Source organism: Homo sapiens, chromosome 9, assembly GCF_000001405.40.
Source record: "Homo sapiens chromosome 9, GRCh38.p14 Primary Assembly".
Taxonomy (NCBI): Eukaryota; Metazoa; Chordata; class Mammalia; order Primates; family Hominidae; genus Homo; species Homo sapiens.
The window spans coordinates 130,240,455-130,257,526 of record NC_000009.12 but is presented as its reverse complement, the minus strand read 5'-3'; the positions used below and the strand labels follow the sequence as shown (position 1 = coordinate 130,257,526).

The 17,072-nt window shown below is 47.7% G+C and overlaps 1 non-coding gene across 1 annotated transcript, besides 1 other annotated feature; it reads right to left on the bottom strand.

Moving 5' to 3' along the window:
- Window positions 1–16,038: 16,038 nt before the first annotated feature.
- Window positions 16,039–16,140, bottom strand: MIR12126 (microRNA 12126). Its single transcript, NR_162140.1, has one exon. It is a non-coding gene; the product is annotated as a microRNA 12126 (primary transcript).
- Window positions 16,603–16,897: an enhancer, noted in NCBI's record as "tiled region #4503; HepG2 Activating non-DNase unmatched - State 4:PromP, and K562 Activating DNase matched - State 5:Enh". NCBI's record gives its function as "activates a minimal TATA promoter and a strong SV40 promoter by Sharpr-MPRA in HepG2 and K562 cells {active_cell/tissue: HepG2 | K562}" and the evidence as "EXISTENCE:reporter gene assay evidence [ECO:0000049][PMID:27701403]".

Below are 17,072 nucleotides of genomic sequence, written 5' to 3'. Positions count from 1 at the left end.
CAAGACATCCCTTCCCTTTTCCCATCAGCACATTAGCTGGGGCTGTTCAACAGATAAGTTCTTGTCAACCAGAAGATTCTGAAAGCTGTCTTCGAGGGAGTAGAAGGGAAGCATGACAGCCAAGAAAAATCATTTCAAAGCACTTAAAGATGCCAGGTCAAGAGAGAGGGCACTGGAAATGAAAGATGGTGCAGCCGCTGCGCAAAACAGTTTGGCGGTTCATCAAGAAAATTAAACGTGGAATTATTATATGACCCAGCAATTCCACCACTAGGTATATAGCCAAAAGCATCGAAAACAGGTGTTCAAACAAAAATGTGTACAACAGTGTTCATAGCAACACTATTCACAATAGCCAAAAGGTGGAAACAACCCAAATGTCCATTAACGAACAAAGGGATAAACAAAATGTAGTAGTAACCATACAACAGAATATGATTCAGCAATAAAAAGGAATGATGAACTGATCCATGCTACAACATGGGTGAACCTTTAAAACATTATGCTAAATACAATAAGCCAGATGTAAAAGGCCACATATTTTATGATTCAATTTATCATATTTATCATAAAATCACGTATTTTATGATTCCAGAATCATATAATGAAATCTGGAAGAACCCAGAATAGGCAATTCCACAAAGACAGAAAACAGTTTAGTGGTTGCTAGGGGATGGAGATAGGAGAGATAAGGAGTGACTGCTAAATGGGTACAGGGTTTCTTCTTGGGGTGATGAAATGTTCTGGAACTAGATAGTGGTAATGACCACAAGACATCGTGAATGTACTCAATGCTGCTGAATTGTACACTTTAAAATAATTAAAATGATGAATTTTATGTTATGTGTATTTCATCTTTTTTTTTTTTTTTTTTTTTTTAAGACAGGGTCTCACTCTGTCACCCAGGCTAGAGTGCAGTGGCACGATCATGGTTCACTGCAGGCTCAAACTCCTGGGCTCAAGTGATCCTCCCACTTCAACCTCCTGAGTAGCTGGGACTACAGGCATGCACCACCATGCTCAGCTAATTTTTTTGTTTTGTTTTGTTTTTTATGAGACAGAGGTTCAGCCTGTCGCCCAGGCTGGAGGGCAGTGGCACAATCACAGCTTACAGCAGCCTCCATCTACCAGGCTCAAGTGATTCTCTTGCCTCAGCCTCCCAAGTAGCTGGGACTACAGGCATGCACCATCACGCCTGGCTCATTTTTGTATTTTTAGTAGAGATGGGGTTTCGCCATGTTGGCCAGGCTGGTCTTGGACTCCTGACCTAAAATGATCCATCCACCTCAGCCCCCCAAAGTGCTGGGATTACAGGCATGAGCCACTGCACCCAGCCTCAGCTAATTAAAAAAAAAAAAATTGTAAAGACAGGAATCTCACTATATTGCCCAAGCTGGTCTTGAACTCCTGGTCTGAAACGATCCCCCTGCCTCAGCCTCCCAAAGCACTGGGATTATAATTATCACGTTAAAAAAACAGTATGGCTGCCTGGGAAGGGTGGCTAGAAAACCAGAGTAAGGGGATCTCAAAGGACCAGGGGACCTGGGGAGGCCAGCTGGGGCCACCCTCTGCGTTTAAGTGAGGCTGAGCTCAGCTCCTGCAGTGGGAGTGATAGATTCTGGCCCAGGCCAGAGCTCTCTTACCTCCTTGGACCCCTCCCCACTCGTCTCCTTTAAGTACCTGTCAATTCAATTTAGCCTTGTGAAGTCTCCACTAAGGAATCCACAGTGTCACCAAGATGATGTCCATCAAGGAAAAAGATCAATCCTAACTATTGGGCCATGACAGTTGACCTTTGATGAAAGCAGAGAATTGCAAAAGGAATCAGATTAAAGATGTTTAATTAATGGTGTCTGGAGCTGCTTCCCAAGAAACGCCATTTGGAAAATCTGAAGGAGAGAAATGTTCCCCAGCCCAGACAGCAAGCCATGACCTTCTTATAGCCTGAAGAGGAGCTGCTTGCCAAGGGCCAAGATTTATGGGGTGGACTCCATTCGCAAAGGAGATGTAATCACATCTCGCTTGACATTTAGTGGAAACAGGCCTACATCCCAGGAACGAAAGCATCAAGAACAAAGTGGTTAGTGGCGGCTGCACAGACACATACAACATATACATTTGTCTTGAGTTTGAGCCACCCAAACATCGAGTTTGGGAATGCCCCTGCTTATGAGGCTGAGTGGAATGCAGAACTTGCTTGCTACTGCAGATGCTAAGCTGCCAGCTAGTCGCTTTCCCATCCTCTCCTGCAGCTGAGGCAGGGGCTTGTCATAATCTCTGCCCACCAAATACACTCGAGCTGGCCTTTGGATTTGGAACCAGAGACACAAAGAAGCTGGTGGCCCCTTAGTGGCAGCAGCAGCAAAAGTTCCTGGCGTGGTAGGGGCAGTTGAGTGAGCCACAGCCTCTAGTCGTCAGACTAGGGCTCCGATGCCTTCAAGGGCTTGTTTCCGCCTCGGTAGCGCCAAGCAGAATTCTGTAGCTCACCTGTGAGCACTTAATAGTGCTGCTTAAATCAGCAAAAGTTGGCTTCTGTTGCCTGCAATTAAGAACACAGTTCCCAGGTGCACTAGCTCAGGCCTGTTATCTCAGCACTTTCGGAGGTGGAAGCGGGCGGATCACTTGAGCCCGGAAATTTGAGACAAGCTTGGGCAGCATGGCGAAACCCCATCGCTACAAAAAATACAAAAATTAGCCGCTGGTGGTGGCGCAGGCCTGTAGTCCCAGCTACTCAGGGGCTGAGATGGGAGAATTGCCTGAGCCCGGGATGTCGAGGTTGCAGTGAGTTGAGACTGCACTCCAGCCTGGGTGACAAAACAAGACCCTATCTCAAAAAAGAAAAAGAAAAAAAACGTCTCATTCCTTCTGGTACTGGCTTCCAACAAACCCCTGCTGGAGTAGTCATGTGACCCAACCTGAACCAATCATAGTGTCTCATCCCTCCAGTTACAGTGATTGGTCTAAAGTTGGGCATGTGACCCACACAGAGCCAATCAATATCTTTCCCTGGGATGTTTCTACTTCTACTGTGGAAGAATCCCTTTCCTTCTGGGGTCATGGAACTCAAAGACTATAAAACGGGGAAGCGGGGCGGGGGCGGGGTGGTGCACGCGGGGGCCAGCAGCTATGTTCCCCACCCTCAGGGAGGAGATCATCTACAGTAGGAGAGAGTGAAGCCAACAGAGACAGGAAGGCAGAGAGAGGAAGAGAAGCCTGGTATCCTTTGAGTCCCCGCTCCCACCATACTGTCTGTAGTATGATTATGCAAATCTATAAGTTCCTTTTTTTTTTTTTTTGAGACAAGGTCTCCCTCTGTCACCACCCAGGCTGGAGTACAGTGGTGCTAATGCTTCACTGCAGGCCGGGCGCGGTGGCTCACGTCTGTAATACCAGCACTTTGGGAGGCCGAGGCGGGCGGATCACTTGAGGTCATGATTTCGAGACCAACCTGGCCAACATGGACAAACCCCGTCTCTACTAAAAACACAAAAAATTAACCGGGCGTGGTGGTGGGCATCTGTAATCCCAGCTACTCAGGAAGCTGAGGCAGGAAAATCACTTGAGCCCAGGGGAGGCAGAGGTTGCAGTGAGCCAAGATCGTGCCATTGCACTGCAGCCTGGACAACAGAGCGAGACACCATCTCAAAGAAAAAAAAAAAAAGGTTCACTGCAGCCTTGAGCTCCTGGGCTCAAGCAATTCTCCCACCTTGGCCTCCTGAGTACCTGGGACCACATACACACCGCCACACCCAGCTAATTTTTTTTTTATTTTTTATTTTGTAGAGTTGGTGGGGGGCGGGGGGGGGTCTCACTATGTTGCCCAGGCTGGTCTCGAATTCCTGGCCTCAAGTGATCCACCCGCCTCGACCTCCCAAAGTGCTGGAATTACAGGCATAAGCCACTGCACTTGGCCCTATAAATTCCCTTTTCTTGCTTAGGCTCATTTAGATTGGATTTTTGCCATTTGTAACAAAAGTCCTAAGTAATGGAGGTGGAGAAATGTTGCTTTATTCAGGACATGGCCTCATGGGCCTTTCTCTTGAGATGACAAGTGACTTACAGTTAAACGAAACGAAGTCCCTGGGAACAAAAACATCTTTGGCAGAGCAGAGGCCAACATCACTCAGCCAGCAAACATTAACTGAACATCTTCCTAAGTAGTGGTCCTGGCCTAAGCCCTTGCACCGTATGAAAAATAATCTGGCATCAAGCAAATGTTCAGTAATTGCTGGGTACAACAAGCTATGATTAGCATTGGTGCTAACAGTTCGTTTCCATTTACAGGTCAGGCACAAGGGGATGGAAAGGGTGGGTTCAGGATTTGGGATGGGTTTGGGCCCCTTTTTTTTCCAAACATCTCTAAGGCCCCACCCCAAGTCGTTCCTCCTAGCTCTGTGAACTTCAAGAAGGGAAAGATGTATTTTTGTGTTGTTTTTTTGTTTTGAGACAGAGTTTCGCTCTTGTCACCCAGGCTAGAGTTCAATGGTGCAATCTCAGCTCACTGCAACATCCGCCTCCCCGGTTCAAGTGATTCTCCTGCCTCAGCCTCCCAGTAGCTGGGATTACACGCGCCCACCATCACGCCCAGCTAATTTTTGTATTTTTAGTAGAGACAGGGTTTCGCCATGTTGGCCAGGCTGGTCTCGAACTCCTGACCTCAGGTGATCCACCCGCCTCAGCCTCCCAAAGTGCTGGGATTACAGCTGTGAGCCACCGTGCCCGGCCATATTTTTTGATGTAACCAGAAAACTGTGCTCACTGAGGGAGTTGGTAATCTGCTCTTGGAGAAAGCAATCCACTTTAAATACAGTGCTTTAATAATTAAAGAGTTCCCTGAATTCCAGCTTGTAACATTCTTGCCAAATCTCCCCTCCTGGCTTGGGGAGCTCAAATCTGTACCTTTTGGGACTGGAATGAGAGAAAGACTAACCCCCGACCCCCTTACCCCCACCCAAAGCTTCTGCAGGATATTCCTCAAATCAACACATTGAGCATGATGGCTTGGCCTCCGTCTGACCTTCAGGCCTCACTCAGTGAGGCATAATAGCCAAAAGAAACACAAGTGAGACTCAAAGGCATCAGAGTTAAGTAGTTCCCTACCGAAGACTCTTGGAGTCTTAGCAAAGGCAGAATCACACCTCAAAAGCACCCGCTCAACCTCCCAAAAACCGCCTGTCAACACGTCTCCCCGCAATGCCTGTCATCCTTACAGCTGCTCCTCTAAATTCTCTTCTTCTCTTGCTTCAGCTCTCCTCTCCCTTCCAAATCTGTGATTTCCCCAGCCAGGCGCAGTGGCTCATACCTATAATCTTAGCACTTTGGGAGGTTGAGGTGGGAGGATCACATGAGGCCAGGAGTTTAAAACCACCCTGAACAACACAGTGAGACCCTGTTTCTACAAAAAAATTTAAAAATCAGCTAGGCATAGTGGTGTGCACCTGTGGTCCCAGCTACTTGGGAGGCTGAGGTGGGAGGATTGCTTAAGGCCAGGAGTTCAAGATTATGGTGAGCCATGATCACACCATTGCATTCCAGCCTGGGTGACAGAGCAAGATCCTGTCTCTAAAAAAATAAATAAATCAAGTATAATTGTCTCCTTCTAATAGTAATGAGCTGTTTTTAAAATGCAAATAAATTTAGCCCCTTTAGACACCCCCCTAACTTCTCCACCCATTACCTCCTTCAGCCCACAAAGCTTCAAAGAAAACAACAAAATGTTCATTAGGAGATCAGGAGGAAAAGGCAATGATTACCCAGACTGCAGCCAGCCCTCATCAAAAAACAAAACAGGCTGGGCGCGGTGGGCCTGTAATCCCAACACTTTGGGAGGCCAAGGCGGGTGGATCACCTGAGGTCAGGGGCTCGAGACCAGCCTGGCCAACATAGTGAAACCCCGTCTCTACTAAAAATACAAAAATTAGCTGGGTGTGGTGGCGTGCACCTGTACTCCCAGCTACTCAGGAGGCTGAGGCAGGAGAATCACTTGAACCTGGGAGACGGAGGTTGCAGTGAGCCAAGATCGCACCACTGCACTCTAGCCTGAGTGACAGAGTGAGACTCCACCTCAAAAATAAAACAAACGAAAAACAACAGAAAAGCAAAGCGTACATGTGTTTGGATATACACAGGTGATGCCTGAAACTCAAGCATTGGAGCAAGAGGACTAGCAAGATTCAAACCAATGTGTGTCTCTCTCCCAAGATGGTGCAGTTAATGACCCCAGTGTTGCCATGAAGACCCAGCACGATGCTCTGACTCAGACTACTGGGTGACCAAGTCATCTTGTCCTTCAGAAGTAGCATTTTGTCCTCTACTTGACCAATTTCTGCATATGGTGGCTCAACTTCTCTCAGTAGATTGATAAAACTAGTAGATAGAAAATCAGCAAGGATACAGAATGACCTTACCATCAACCACCTGTATCTCGTTGACATTTAGAGAATACTCCACCCAACAATATCAGAATACACATTCTTTTTTATTGCAACTGGAACAGTCACCAAGATAGAACAAATCCTGGGTCATAACAAACCTTAAGAAATTCAAAAGAATTAAGATATATAAAGTATGTTCTTCGACTATCATGGAATTAGACTGGAAATCAATAAGGAAAATAAAATACAATATCAAAATATTCACGATGCAGGTAAGGCAGGGTTTGGGGAAAATTTATAGCATTAAAAGCTCGCATTAGAAAAGAAGAAGCCTCAAATCAATCTAACCTTCCACTTTAATAAACTAAAGAAACACAAAATATAAACCTGAAGGAAGGAAATAAAGAGCTGAAATCAATAATGTAGAAATTAGAAAAAATTGATGAAACCAAAAGCTGGTTCTTTGAAAAATCATTAAAATTGATAAACTTCCAGAAAGACTGACAGAGAAAAAGAGAAAAATTATCAATACTAGGAATGAAAGAAGGCATAAAACTACAGGCCCCACAGACATTAAAAGGACAATAAGGGAATAGTCTGAACAACTATGAACATACACCCAACAGGTTAGATGAAATGGATAAATTCCTCCAAAACTACAAAGTACCAAAACTCTCCCAAGATGAAACAGATCATCTGAATTATACTATAACTACTAAAGAAATTGGATTTGTGGCCAGGCACAACGGCTCACACCTGTAATCTTAGCACTTTGGGAGGCCAAGGTGGTCAGATTGTTTGAGGTCAGGAATTCGAGTCCAGCCTTGGCAACATGGTGAAACCCTGTCTCTACAAAAAATACAAAAAAATTAACTGGGTGCAGTGGCATGCACCTGTAGTCCCAGCTACTCGGGAGGCTGAAGTGGGAGGATCACCTGAGTCCAGGGAGATCGAGACTGCAGTGAGCCATGATGCTGCCACTGTACTCCAGCCTGAGCAACAGAGTGAGACCTGTCTCAAAAAAGAAAGAAGGGGAAGGGGAAGGGAAGAGGAAGGGAGGGAGGGAAGGAGGGAGGGAAGAAGGGAGGAACAAGAGAGAAAAGGAATTGAATTTGTAAAACTTTTTAAAAAGGAAGGTTTCATGCCAAGATGGATTATTGCTGAATTATACCAAACGTTTAAAGAAAAAAAAAATCAATTCTACTCAATAAAGGAGAAGGGAACACTTTCTAACTCATTTTGACACCAAAACTAAAGACCTATAATAAGCAAAAACTACAAACCAATATTTCAGATGAACATAGATGCAAAAATCCTCAACAAAATCTTAGCAAATCAAAATCAAATTCAGAAACACATAAAAAGAATACTACCCAAGACTAAGTAGGGCTTTTCCCAGGAATGAAAGACTAGCTCCATTTTCAAAAACAATCGATGGGTAATTCACCATATGAACAGCCTGAAGAAGAAAACCATACAATCATATCAATTGATTCAGAGAAAGCATTTGACAAAATTCAATATCCATTCATGAAAAAACTCTCAGCAAATAAGAAAGGAATGGAATTTACTTAATTTGATAAATGGCATCTACAAAAAAACAAAAAACAAAAAACAAAAAAACCCCACAAAACTACAGCTAACATCATACCTGCTGGTGAGAGAACACTTTCCCCCTAAAATTGGGAACAAGACAAGGATGTCTACACTCCCCACTCCTGTTTAACATTATACAGGATGTTCTATTCAGCTCAGTAAGGCAAGAAAAATAAAAGGCATATAGATTGAAAAGGAAGAAGTAAAACTGTTCATGTTTTCAGGTGAATGATTATCAGAATAGAAAATTCCAGTGAATTTACCCCTCAAAAATCTCACAGCTAATAAGTGAGTTTAGCAAGTGGTAGGATCAAGGTCAACATGCAAAAATTAATCTTATTTGTATACACTAGTAAGGAACCATTGGAAATCAAAAATTTTTAAATAATACAATTGTTAATTGTATTATATTAATTATATTAATAATATAATTAATAATTTATTATAATTATAATTTATAATTTACAATCGCTCCCCAAAATAAAATATTAGGTATAAATCTAACAAACTGTACACAGGATTCATGTGCTGAAAACTAATACAAATGCTGATGAAAGCGAGCAAAGAAACCTAAAGAAATGGAAATACATACTCGTGTATGGACTGGAAGGCTAAACACAGTAATTGATCTGTAGACGTAATGCAATTCCAGTGAAAATTGCAGCAGGTTTTTTTGAAGGTATAAACAAGCTGATTCTGAAATTTATACTGAAATGGCAAAAGAAATACCCAAGACAATTTTGAAAAATGAAAACAAAGTGGGAGGAATTTCACTACTGAATTATAAGACTTACTGTACAGCAGCAGTTATTAAGACAGTGTGATATTGGCAAAGGGATGCATAGATCAGTGGAACAGAATCGGAAGTCCAGAAATAGACCACACAATTATGGCCAATTGATTTTTTTTTTTTTTTTTTTTTTAGATGGAGTCTCACTCTGTTGCCAGGCTGGAGTGCAGTGGCGCGATCTTGGCTCACTGCAACCTCTGCCTCCTGGGTTCAAGCGATTCTCCTGCCTCAGCCTCCCGAGTAGCTGGGACTACAGAAGTGCGCCACCACGCCCAGCTAATTTTTTGTATTTTTTAGTAGAAACGGGGTTTCACCGTGTTGGCCAGGCTGGTCTCTAACTCCTGACCACCCGCCTCCGCCTCCAAAAGTGTGGGATTACAGGCGTGAGCCACCGCACCCGGCCTGGCCAATTGATTTTTGATAAAGGTGCGAAGGCAATTCTGTGGAGACAGGATATTCTTTCCCACATATGGCCTTAGAACAATTGGACGTCCGTATGCAAAAGAAAAAACAAATAATAATAAACAAAAAATGAACCTTGACCTAAACCTCACACCTTATACAAAAATTAATTCAAAATAAGTCATAGGTCTAAATAGAAAAAACATAAAACTCTCAAACTTTTTTTTTTTTTTGAGACGGAGTCTCGGTCTGTCGCCCAGGTTGGAGTGCAGTGGCGCGATCTCAGCTCACTGCAAGCTCCGCCTCCCGGGTTCACGCCATTCTCCTGCCTCAGCCTCCCGAGTAGCTGGGACTACAGGCACCCGCCATCACGCCCGGCTAATTTTTTGTGTTTTTAGTAGAGACGGGGTTTCACCGTGTTAGCCAGGATGGTCTCGATCTCCTGACCTCGTGATCCGCCCGCCTGAGTCTCCCAAAGTGCTGGGATTATAGGCATGAGCCACCGCGCCTGGCCAAAACTTTCAAACTTTTAGAAGAAACACAGGAGAACAAATATTCACCACCTGAGGATAGGCAGAGAGTTCTTACACATGACACCAAAAGCACAGTCTATGACAGGAAAACTTGAGAAGCTGACTTTATCAAAATTCATAATGTGGCCTGGCATTGTGACTCAACGCCTGTAATCCCAACACTTTGGGAGGCTGAGGCAGGTGGATCACCTGAGGTCAGGAGTTTGAGACCAACCTGACCAATATGGTGAAACCCTGTCTCTACTAAAAGTACACATTTAGCCGGGCATGGTGGCACGTACCTGTAATCTTAGCTACTCGGGAGGCTGAGGCAAAAGAATCGCTTGAACGTGGGAAGTGGAGGTTGCGGTGAACCAAGATTGTGCCATGGCACTCCAGCCTGGGCAACAAGAGCAAAACTCCGTCTCAAAAAAAAAAAAAAAAAGAAAAGAAAAGAAAAGAAAAAAGAAATTTATTTCTCACAGTTCTGGAGACTGAGAAGTTCAATATCAAGGTGCCAGCACCTTGTAAGGGCCTTCATGGTGTGTCATCCCATGGCAGAAGGTGGAAGGGCAAGTGAGCGTGAGAAAGAAAGAACCCACTCCTCAAAGCCCGCCTTTTTAAAATTTTTTTGAGACAGGGTCTCACTCTGTCACCCAGACTGGAGTGCAGTGGTTTGATCTCGGCTCACTGCAACCTCTGCCTCCCAGGTTCAAGTGACTATCCCACCTCAGCCTCCTGAGTAGCTGGGATTACAGGCATGTGCTACCACACCTGGCTAATTTTTGTATTTTTTGGTAGAGACGGGGTTTCACCATGCTGGCCAGGCTGGTCTCTAACTCCTGACTTCAAGTGATCTGTCTGCCTCAGCCTCCCGGAGTGCTGGGATTACAGGTGTAAGCCACCGTACCCAACCAAGGCATTAACCCACTCATGAGGGCAGAACTGTCATGGCCTAACCACTTCCTAAAGCACCAGCTCGTAATACTGTCACAATGGCAATTACATTTCAAACACGTGTTTTGGAAGGAACATTCATGGAAGTAACACCCAAGCTTCATTGGAATAAAAAGGCTTTTTCTTCTGTGTTTTTTGGTATGGATTTGTTAAACATTTCAAGCTCATTCCGTTGGATATAATTTAATCTTGTTCTTCATAGTTGAAGAGCACTCACTCATAGCATTAAGGTGCAAAGTATATTATTTTTTATAATTATCAACTTAATACACACATACACAAAGGATTAGGGAACAGGCCGGGTGTGATGGCATGTGACTGTAGTCTCAGCTACTTGGGAGGCTGACATGGGAGGATCACCTAAGGCCAAGAGTTCGAGACTGCAGTGAGCTATGATCACACCACTGTACTCCAGCCTGGATAAAAGAGTAAGGCCCTGTTTCAAAAAAAAGAAAAGAAAAAAAGAGAGATTAGGGAAAAGAAGCTGCTCAGAGTCACCAGCTGGTGCTTCCACTGGGTCTCAGCCTGGTCTTGTTGACTCAGAGGCCAGGACATGGTGCTGGTGACGTGCTACCCCTATGGACAGCAGGGACCGGGGCTCTGGGAGTGGCTATGTGTCCTCCAAGCTGGTGCTCCCTGGAGAGGCTGTTCCTACTTGTAAGGAAACAGAGGAACACATTGCAAAACCTTTCATTTCACTTGATGGGAAACATCATTTTATCATCCTTCTCTGTCACCTGCATCTTTCTAACCTCTCAGTTTTTCTCTGGCACTGAGCAAAAGCTTAGCCCACTTTGTGCTGGGGATTGAGCTGGGGAATTTCCAAGTAGTGATTCTAGTGACAGTGATTGCATATAGCAGGGCTCTATTTGATGTAAACTCATCACAGGCCCTGGGGCTCCAGTTTTCCTATTTATCTGGCTATATGGGTCCTCGTGGCTCCAGAAAAAGCGGGGGCAAGGGCCAGACCAATTTTTTTTTTTTTTTTTTTTTCAGATAAAGTCTCACTCTGTCACTCAGGCTGGAGTACAGCGGTGCGATCTCAGCTCACTGCAACCTCCACCTCCCAGGTTTAAGAGATTTCTGGCTAAATTTTGTATTTTTAATAGTGACAGGATTTCACCATATTGGCCAGGCTGGTCTCGAACTCCTTACCTCAAGTGATCCACGCGCCTCGGCCTCCCAAGGGAGGAATTACAGGCGTGCGCCACTGCGCCCGGGCCAGGTGCCCCAGAGATAGCTCCCTGGGTGGTTGTGGGGGGCCCCTTGGGGTTGGTGGGGCAGAGGTCATGTTGGCAGTGGGGAGCCTCCCTCTGCTATCGACTAGTTCATGACAGGCTCCTGTTTCAAGGTATTTTCCTCTCTGAAATTTTGGACTTGGACCCAGATCTTGAGTGCAGCTTCACCCATGGCCCAAGTGGCAAGAAATAAAAGCTGATAGCCAAATCGATGGACCAAAATGAAGGGGCAACAACTTTGGGGTGGAGAGAATTGGATAATATCAATGACATTCACTGTTTTCACGTAGGAAAGGCCCTCAGACAGATCATCTGAGCATCACACAGATGCTCCCCAGCAGCCCTATGAGAAACGTGCTTCTATTATCCTCACTTTAAAGAGGAGGAAACTGAAGCTCAGAGAAGTTCAGATTCAGTCTATCTCCAAAGCCAACTGCTGGTGGGGATGCAGCCAGCACTGGAACCCAGAGAAGGAACCTTAACTGCCAGTCATGCTGGATGAGATGAGAAACTTTGGGACAAGAGGTCCCTTCGCCCCAAATTTAATTTACAGCCAGATGGGTATGGCAACCACAGTAGCTTCAAGACATTTGAAAACCAGCCAAGAGCACCAAAGAGAGCCGGCTTTCTCCAGCCCCACCTGCCCGTCATATCCCAGGCCTCCCTAGGTCCCCCACTGGCCAATCAGAGTCCCTCTTATGGGGGAAACCCTTTCTCCAGCCCTGTCGCAAGACTGGTTAGGAGGGTGAGGATGGGGCCGAGGCCTCGGGGGTCTCAGGGCTTATGGGAGTGGCCGGTTCATCACCTTCCTTTACTTCTGGGAGAGCCCCTGGCAGGGAGAGGCCAGAAGTCAGCCAAGGACACCTGCTGCCCTGTGGCCACTGGGGCTGGGTGGTTCCGAGGAGCCACGGATCTGACTTGTGCTTGCACCAGGAAGGTGGCTTCTCCTCACACGAGGGCTCAGCCCTGTGGCCTCGTGGAAAATTTCAGATTCTGGGAAGTGCTGGTTCTAGGTGACCCAAGGGAGAGGACATCAGGCCAAAGGTGATGCGTCACGGTGGTGGTCACAGTTTGGGGTCCAGTTGGCCTCAAATCCCCTCTGCCTTTTTTTTTTTTTTTTTTTTTTTGAGACAGAGTCTCACTCTGTCGCCCAGGCTGGAGTGCAGTGGCGTGATCTCAGCTCACTGCAACCTCCACCTCCCAGGTTCAAGCAATTCCCTGCCTCAGCCTCCTGAGTAGCTGGGATTACAGGCACCTGCCACCACGCCCGGCTAATTTTTGTATTTTTAGTAGAGACAGGGTTTCACCATGTTGGCCAGGCTGGTCTCAAACTCCTGACCTCAGGATCCACCCGCCTCGGCCTCCCAAAGTGCTGGGATTACAGGCGTGAGCTACCGTGCCTGGCCCCCTCTCTGCCATTTATCAGCTGTGTGACCCCAGGCAAGTCAGTGAGCCTCTCTGAAGCTGTTTCCTCATCTGGAACTGGGGACAACTGTAGCTACCTCATGGGGCATAAGAGGAACAGCACACAGGAGCGGTGGTGGCAGAGCCACGGGCCAGGAGGGGCTGAGAGCCGGTCATGAGCATAGCAGTGACCACAATGGTGGCAGCAGCAGCATGCAAGCCATGGGTCCGGGTACCATCTGCCAGGTAACACGGTGCACAGGGAGTCCCACGGGTAACCCCACCTGCAGCTCTGGGTGTGCCCGGGCTGGGAGGGGTGCCTGAGACCCTGCCTACCCACACTTGCCATTTCCATTCCTGTGCCCTGGGGACCCCTCCCTGGGGCACACCCCGTCCTGCCCCCAGACTCAGCACCCCCAACCTTTGCCCACAGTGCTTACCTGAGTGGCCACCCCCCTGGGAATGGGGCCCTGGGGCACTCTTGGGATCCAGTGCCCCCAGTGCTTGGCAGGCTGTGGGAGGGACCTCCTTCGTGGGCCCAGACCCCTGCCCCTGCCTCAGTCTCCCTGCCTCCTCCAACCCACCTCCGAGCTGCTTCTCCCTCCAGACACGGGGCCCGCACTGACGGATCTCAGTGGGGCATGCGCCTTCCCCTGCAGACCTCGCCTCCCCACGCGACAGGCATCTGGGAGGGACCAGGGCAATAAGCCGCTGCCGGATCTGAACTTAATAGAAGCAGTCTCCCCCAGCTCCCTGTGTCTGACCAAAGACAATGTCGTCGGAGCCTGGAAGCCCCCCACGAACTGTCAGACTGGAGGAGCCCCTTCACCCTGGGCCTCAGCGACCTCGTCTGTAAAATGTGGGATGGTAATACCAGCACCGGCCTCAAGGGGCGCTGCTGCAAGGATTAAATGCGATAATGCGGGTGAACCCAGCACAGGGCAAGCACTCCGCTTCCGTTGCTATGACCTGGCTCGTCCCTGTTATCACTTTGCTAATCGTTAAAATGGGCGGAGTTACAGAGAACAGCCGTTCCGCGGGGCTTCCCAAGAAGCTCAGAAAGGCGGACCTCGGTGCTGTGTGCTCAGAGCGCCCAGGCCTGTACCAGTCAGCATCAATTCTTAAAAGGTGACCTCGTGCCTCTTCTTTCTGTGCGGAGTCATCCACTGGAAAAATCTACTGTCTCATTGCCATGGAGGCACCTGCCGTTAACTCCTTTGCATTCCTCTCTTCCCCTGTGTGTCGATTTCCTGCAGTCCTTCCTCTGCACCTACTGTACACTGCCTGGAATGCCCTTGCCTCTCCTCCTTGCCCATGTACATCCTGCCATCCTTTAAGGGTAGCTGAAGTTTCCCCTTGTCCAGGGAGGCCCCTGGGGAGTGAGGTAGGGAGAGTAGCCCAATCCCCGCCCGATACTGCGTCACTGGCCTGGCACTGCCCATCTGTGGCTGGTGTCCATAACCTTCCTGTGTGTGCTACTGCTGTTGTTTTTTTTTTTTTTTTTTTTTTTGGACAGAGTCTCATTCTCTGTCACCCAGGCTGGAGTGCAGTGGCACTATGACGGCTCACTGCAGCCTCGACCTCACTATGCCCAAGCAATTCTCTCATCTCAGCCTCCTGAGTAGCTGGGACTGCAGGTGAGTGCCACCATGCCTGGCTAATTTTTTTGTATTTTGTAGAGATGGGGTTTTGCCATGTTGCCCAGGCTGGTCTCGAACTCCTGACCTCAAGTGATCCACCCACCTCGGCCTCCCAAAGTGCAGGAATTGCAGGCATGAGCCACCGCCCCCGGCCTTCCTTCTTGAACCAGGCTAGCATTCATCACAGGCTGTGGCAGAAGCCTGGCACTGTGGCTGCCCAGCATATACACTCCAGGCTCTCATTCATCCCTGTGGAAATGGGTGAAGGATTCTGGTTAGCTTTAGGCTTCTGCCTAGAAATCACTTAAGCAGCATCCAGCTTGTATTAGTTGATCTGATGGACGAGCATGGGGGTAGAATCCGAACCTCAGGGTTCCCTCTGATTCCCTTCCCATGACTGGGAGCTCCCTTTGTTTTTTGCTTTTTGTTTTTTTTGAGATGGAGTCTCGTTCTGTCACCCGGGCTGGAGTGCAGTGGTGTGATCTCGGCCCACTGCAACCTCCACCTCCTGGGTTCAAGCGGTTCTCCTGCCTCAGCCTCCCGACTACCTGAGATTACAGGCACACGCCACCATGCCCAGCTAATTTTTGTATTTTTGGTAGAGGTGGAGTTTCACCATGTTGACCAGGCTGGTCTCGAACTCCTGGCTTCAAGTGATCCGCCTGTCTCAGCCTCCCAAAGTGCTGGGATTACAGGCGTGAGCCACCACGTCTGGCCTGGGAGCTCCCTTTCTCCCTCCTTCCAGGCCAGCACTTGCACCTTCCCCTGCAGGTCCCAGCTCGGGCCCCTGGCATTCCACAGATCTGCCCCTTCTAAGGCAGGAAGGGCCTCTTGATGCCCAACATAGGAATTGGGTCTTCAGAATCCTCAAAGAATAAAGTGGGCACTCCACAATATCACAAAGACTTCCCCTCACCTCTGGGGGCAACCAACAGTCCAGTGACTAAAACGGGACCTACTCTCAGTCATCTGACAATGATACCAAAGGGACTCTTCCCACCCTTCTCCCTGACTGTCAGAAAAAAGCTTGTTTTACTCTTTATCATATTTTTTTATCCCCAAGATCTGCTCATGTGGATGGCTTATTTTAGGTTTCTGGGAGGAAGGGAGCAATTTCTGAGGAAGGAAATTGTAGAGACAAGAAAAGGTCTGGTCCCCAAGTCTTGAAACCCCTGGCAGAATCCTTCCTGAGCTCAACCCTAGGCCAGCCTGCCCAGTCCCCTTCCTGTGGTTACCCAGTGAAAACCCAACTGGCCCGGTCCTCAGGGGCTGCCCTGGGCTCCCCAATAACCTAGAGCCTCTAGGTCCCTAGTGCTTCTGCAAAAGAAAGTCTTTCCCACAGGAGTCCCTCTGGCTGGGACCCTCAGTCCCCTGAGCCCTTGGAGGAGGAGGGCATATTGGGACAGGAAGAGGGAAAAGGCAGAAGACGGGTGGGAAAGGCATGAGCAAGCAGTAGTTACACCAGCACATGGCACTGTATGGTTGTTTATTAAGTCACTTTGGCAAACATTGAGAGTTTCGATGCAAACATTTGCAGGTGGCATCAGGTCATTGAAAGCGACCCAGCAGATCACTGGGTACATTAGGGAGAATATAAATTGGGCTGTTGACACAGAGACTCAGGATGGCTTAATCAAGATAAATGTGTGTCTCTCTTCCTCCTAAGAGCTCCAGTGTAAATGGTCCAAAGCTGGTGTGGCAGCTCCATGGGGTCAAAGACCCAGTTCTAGGAAGGCTTGTTTCAGAGTCCTCCATCCAGTCAGCAGGAAGAGGGAAGAGGGAAAGTTATGCTCATTGTTCTCATCCTATTGGATAGAACTGGGTCACATGGCCGCACTCAGCCACAAGGGAGGCTGGGAAATGTAGTCCTTTGTTCCACATGGCCCTGTGCCCAGCTAAAAAGAGATAAGGGGAAGAAGTAGAAAGCTTTTCCATACCTACACAAGCTCATTTTGCCTAAGTTCAGGGGGCCTTCCCAGCCCCTTTCCATGCCCACTGTCCTGAACCAGTTCCTCCAGACCAATGAACCTGGAGGGTAAGTTTCTGCCTCTGTACTCCCTGGGCAGGAAGATGGCAGGGAGGAGGGGGCCACTGTAGGGCAGGGATCCACATTGCATTCCCACTCCCAGCCCGACTCCCTACTCTTCTCCTTGTCATCT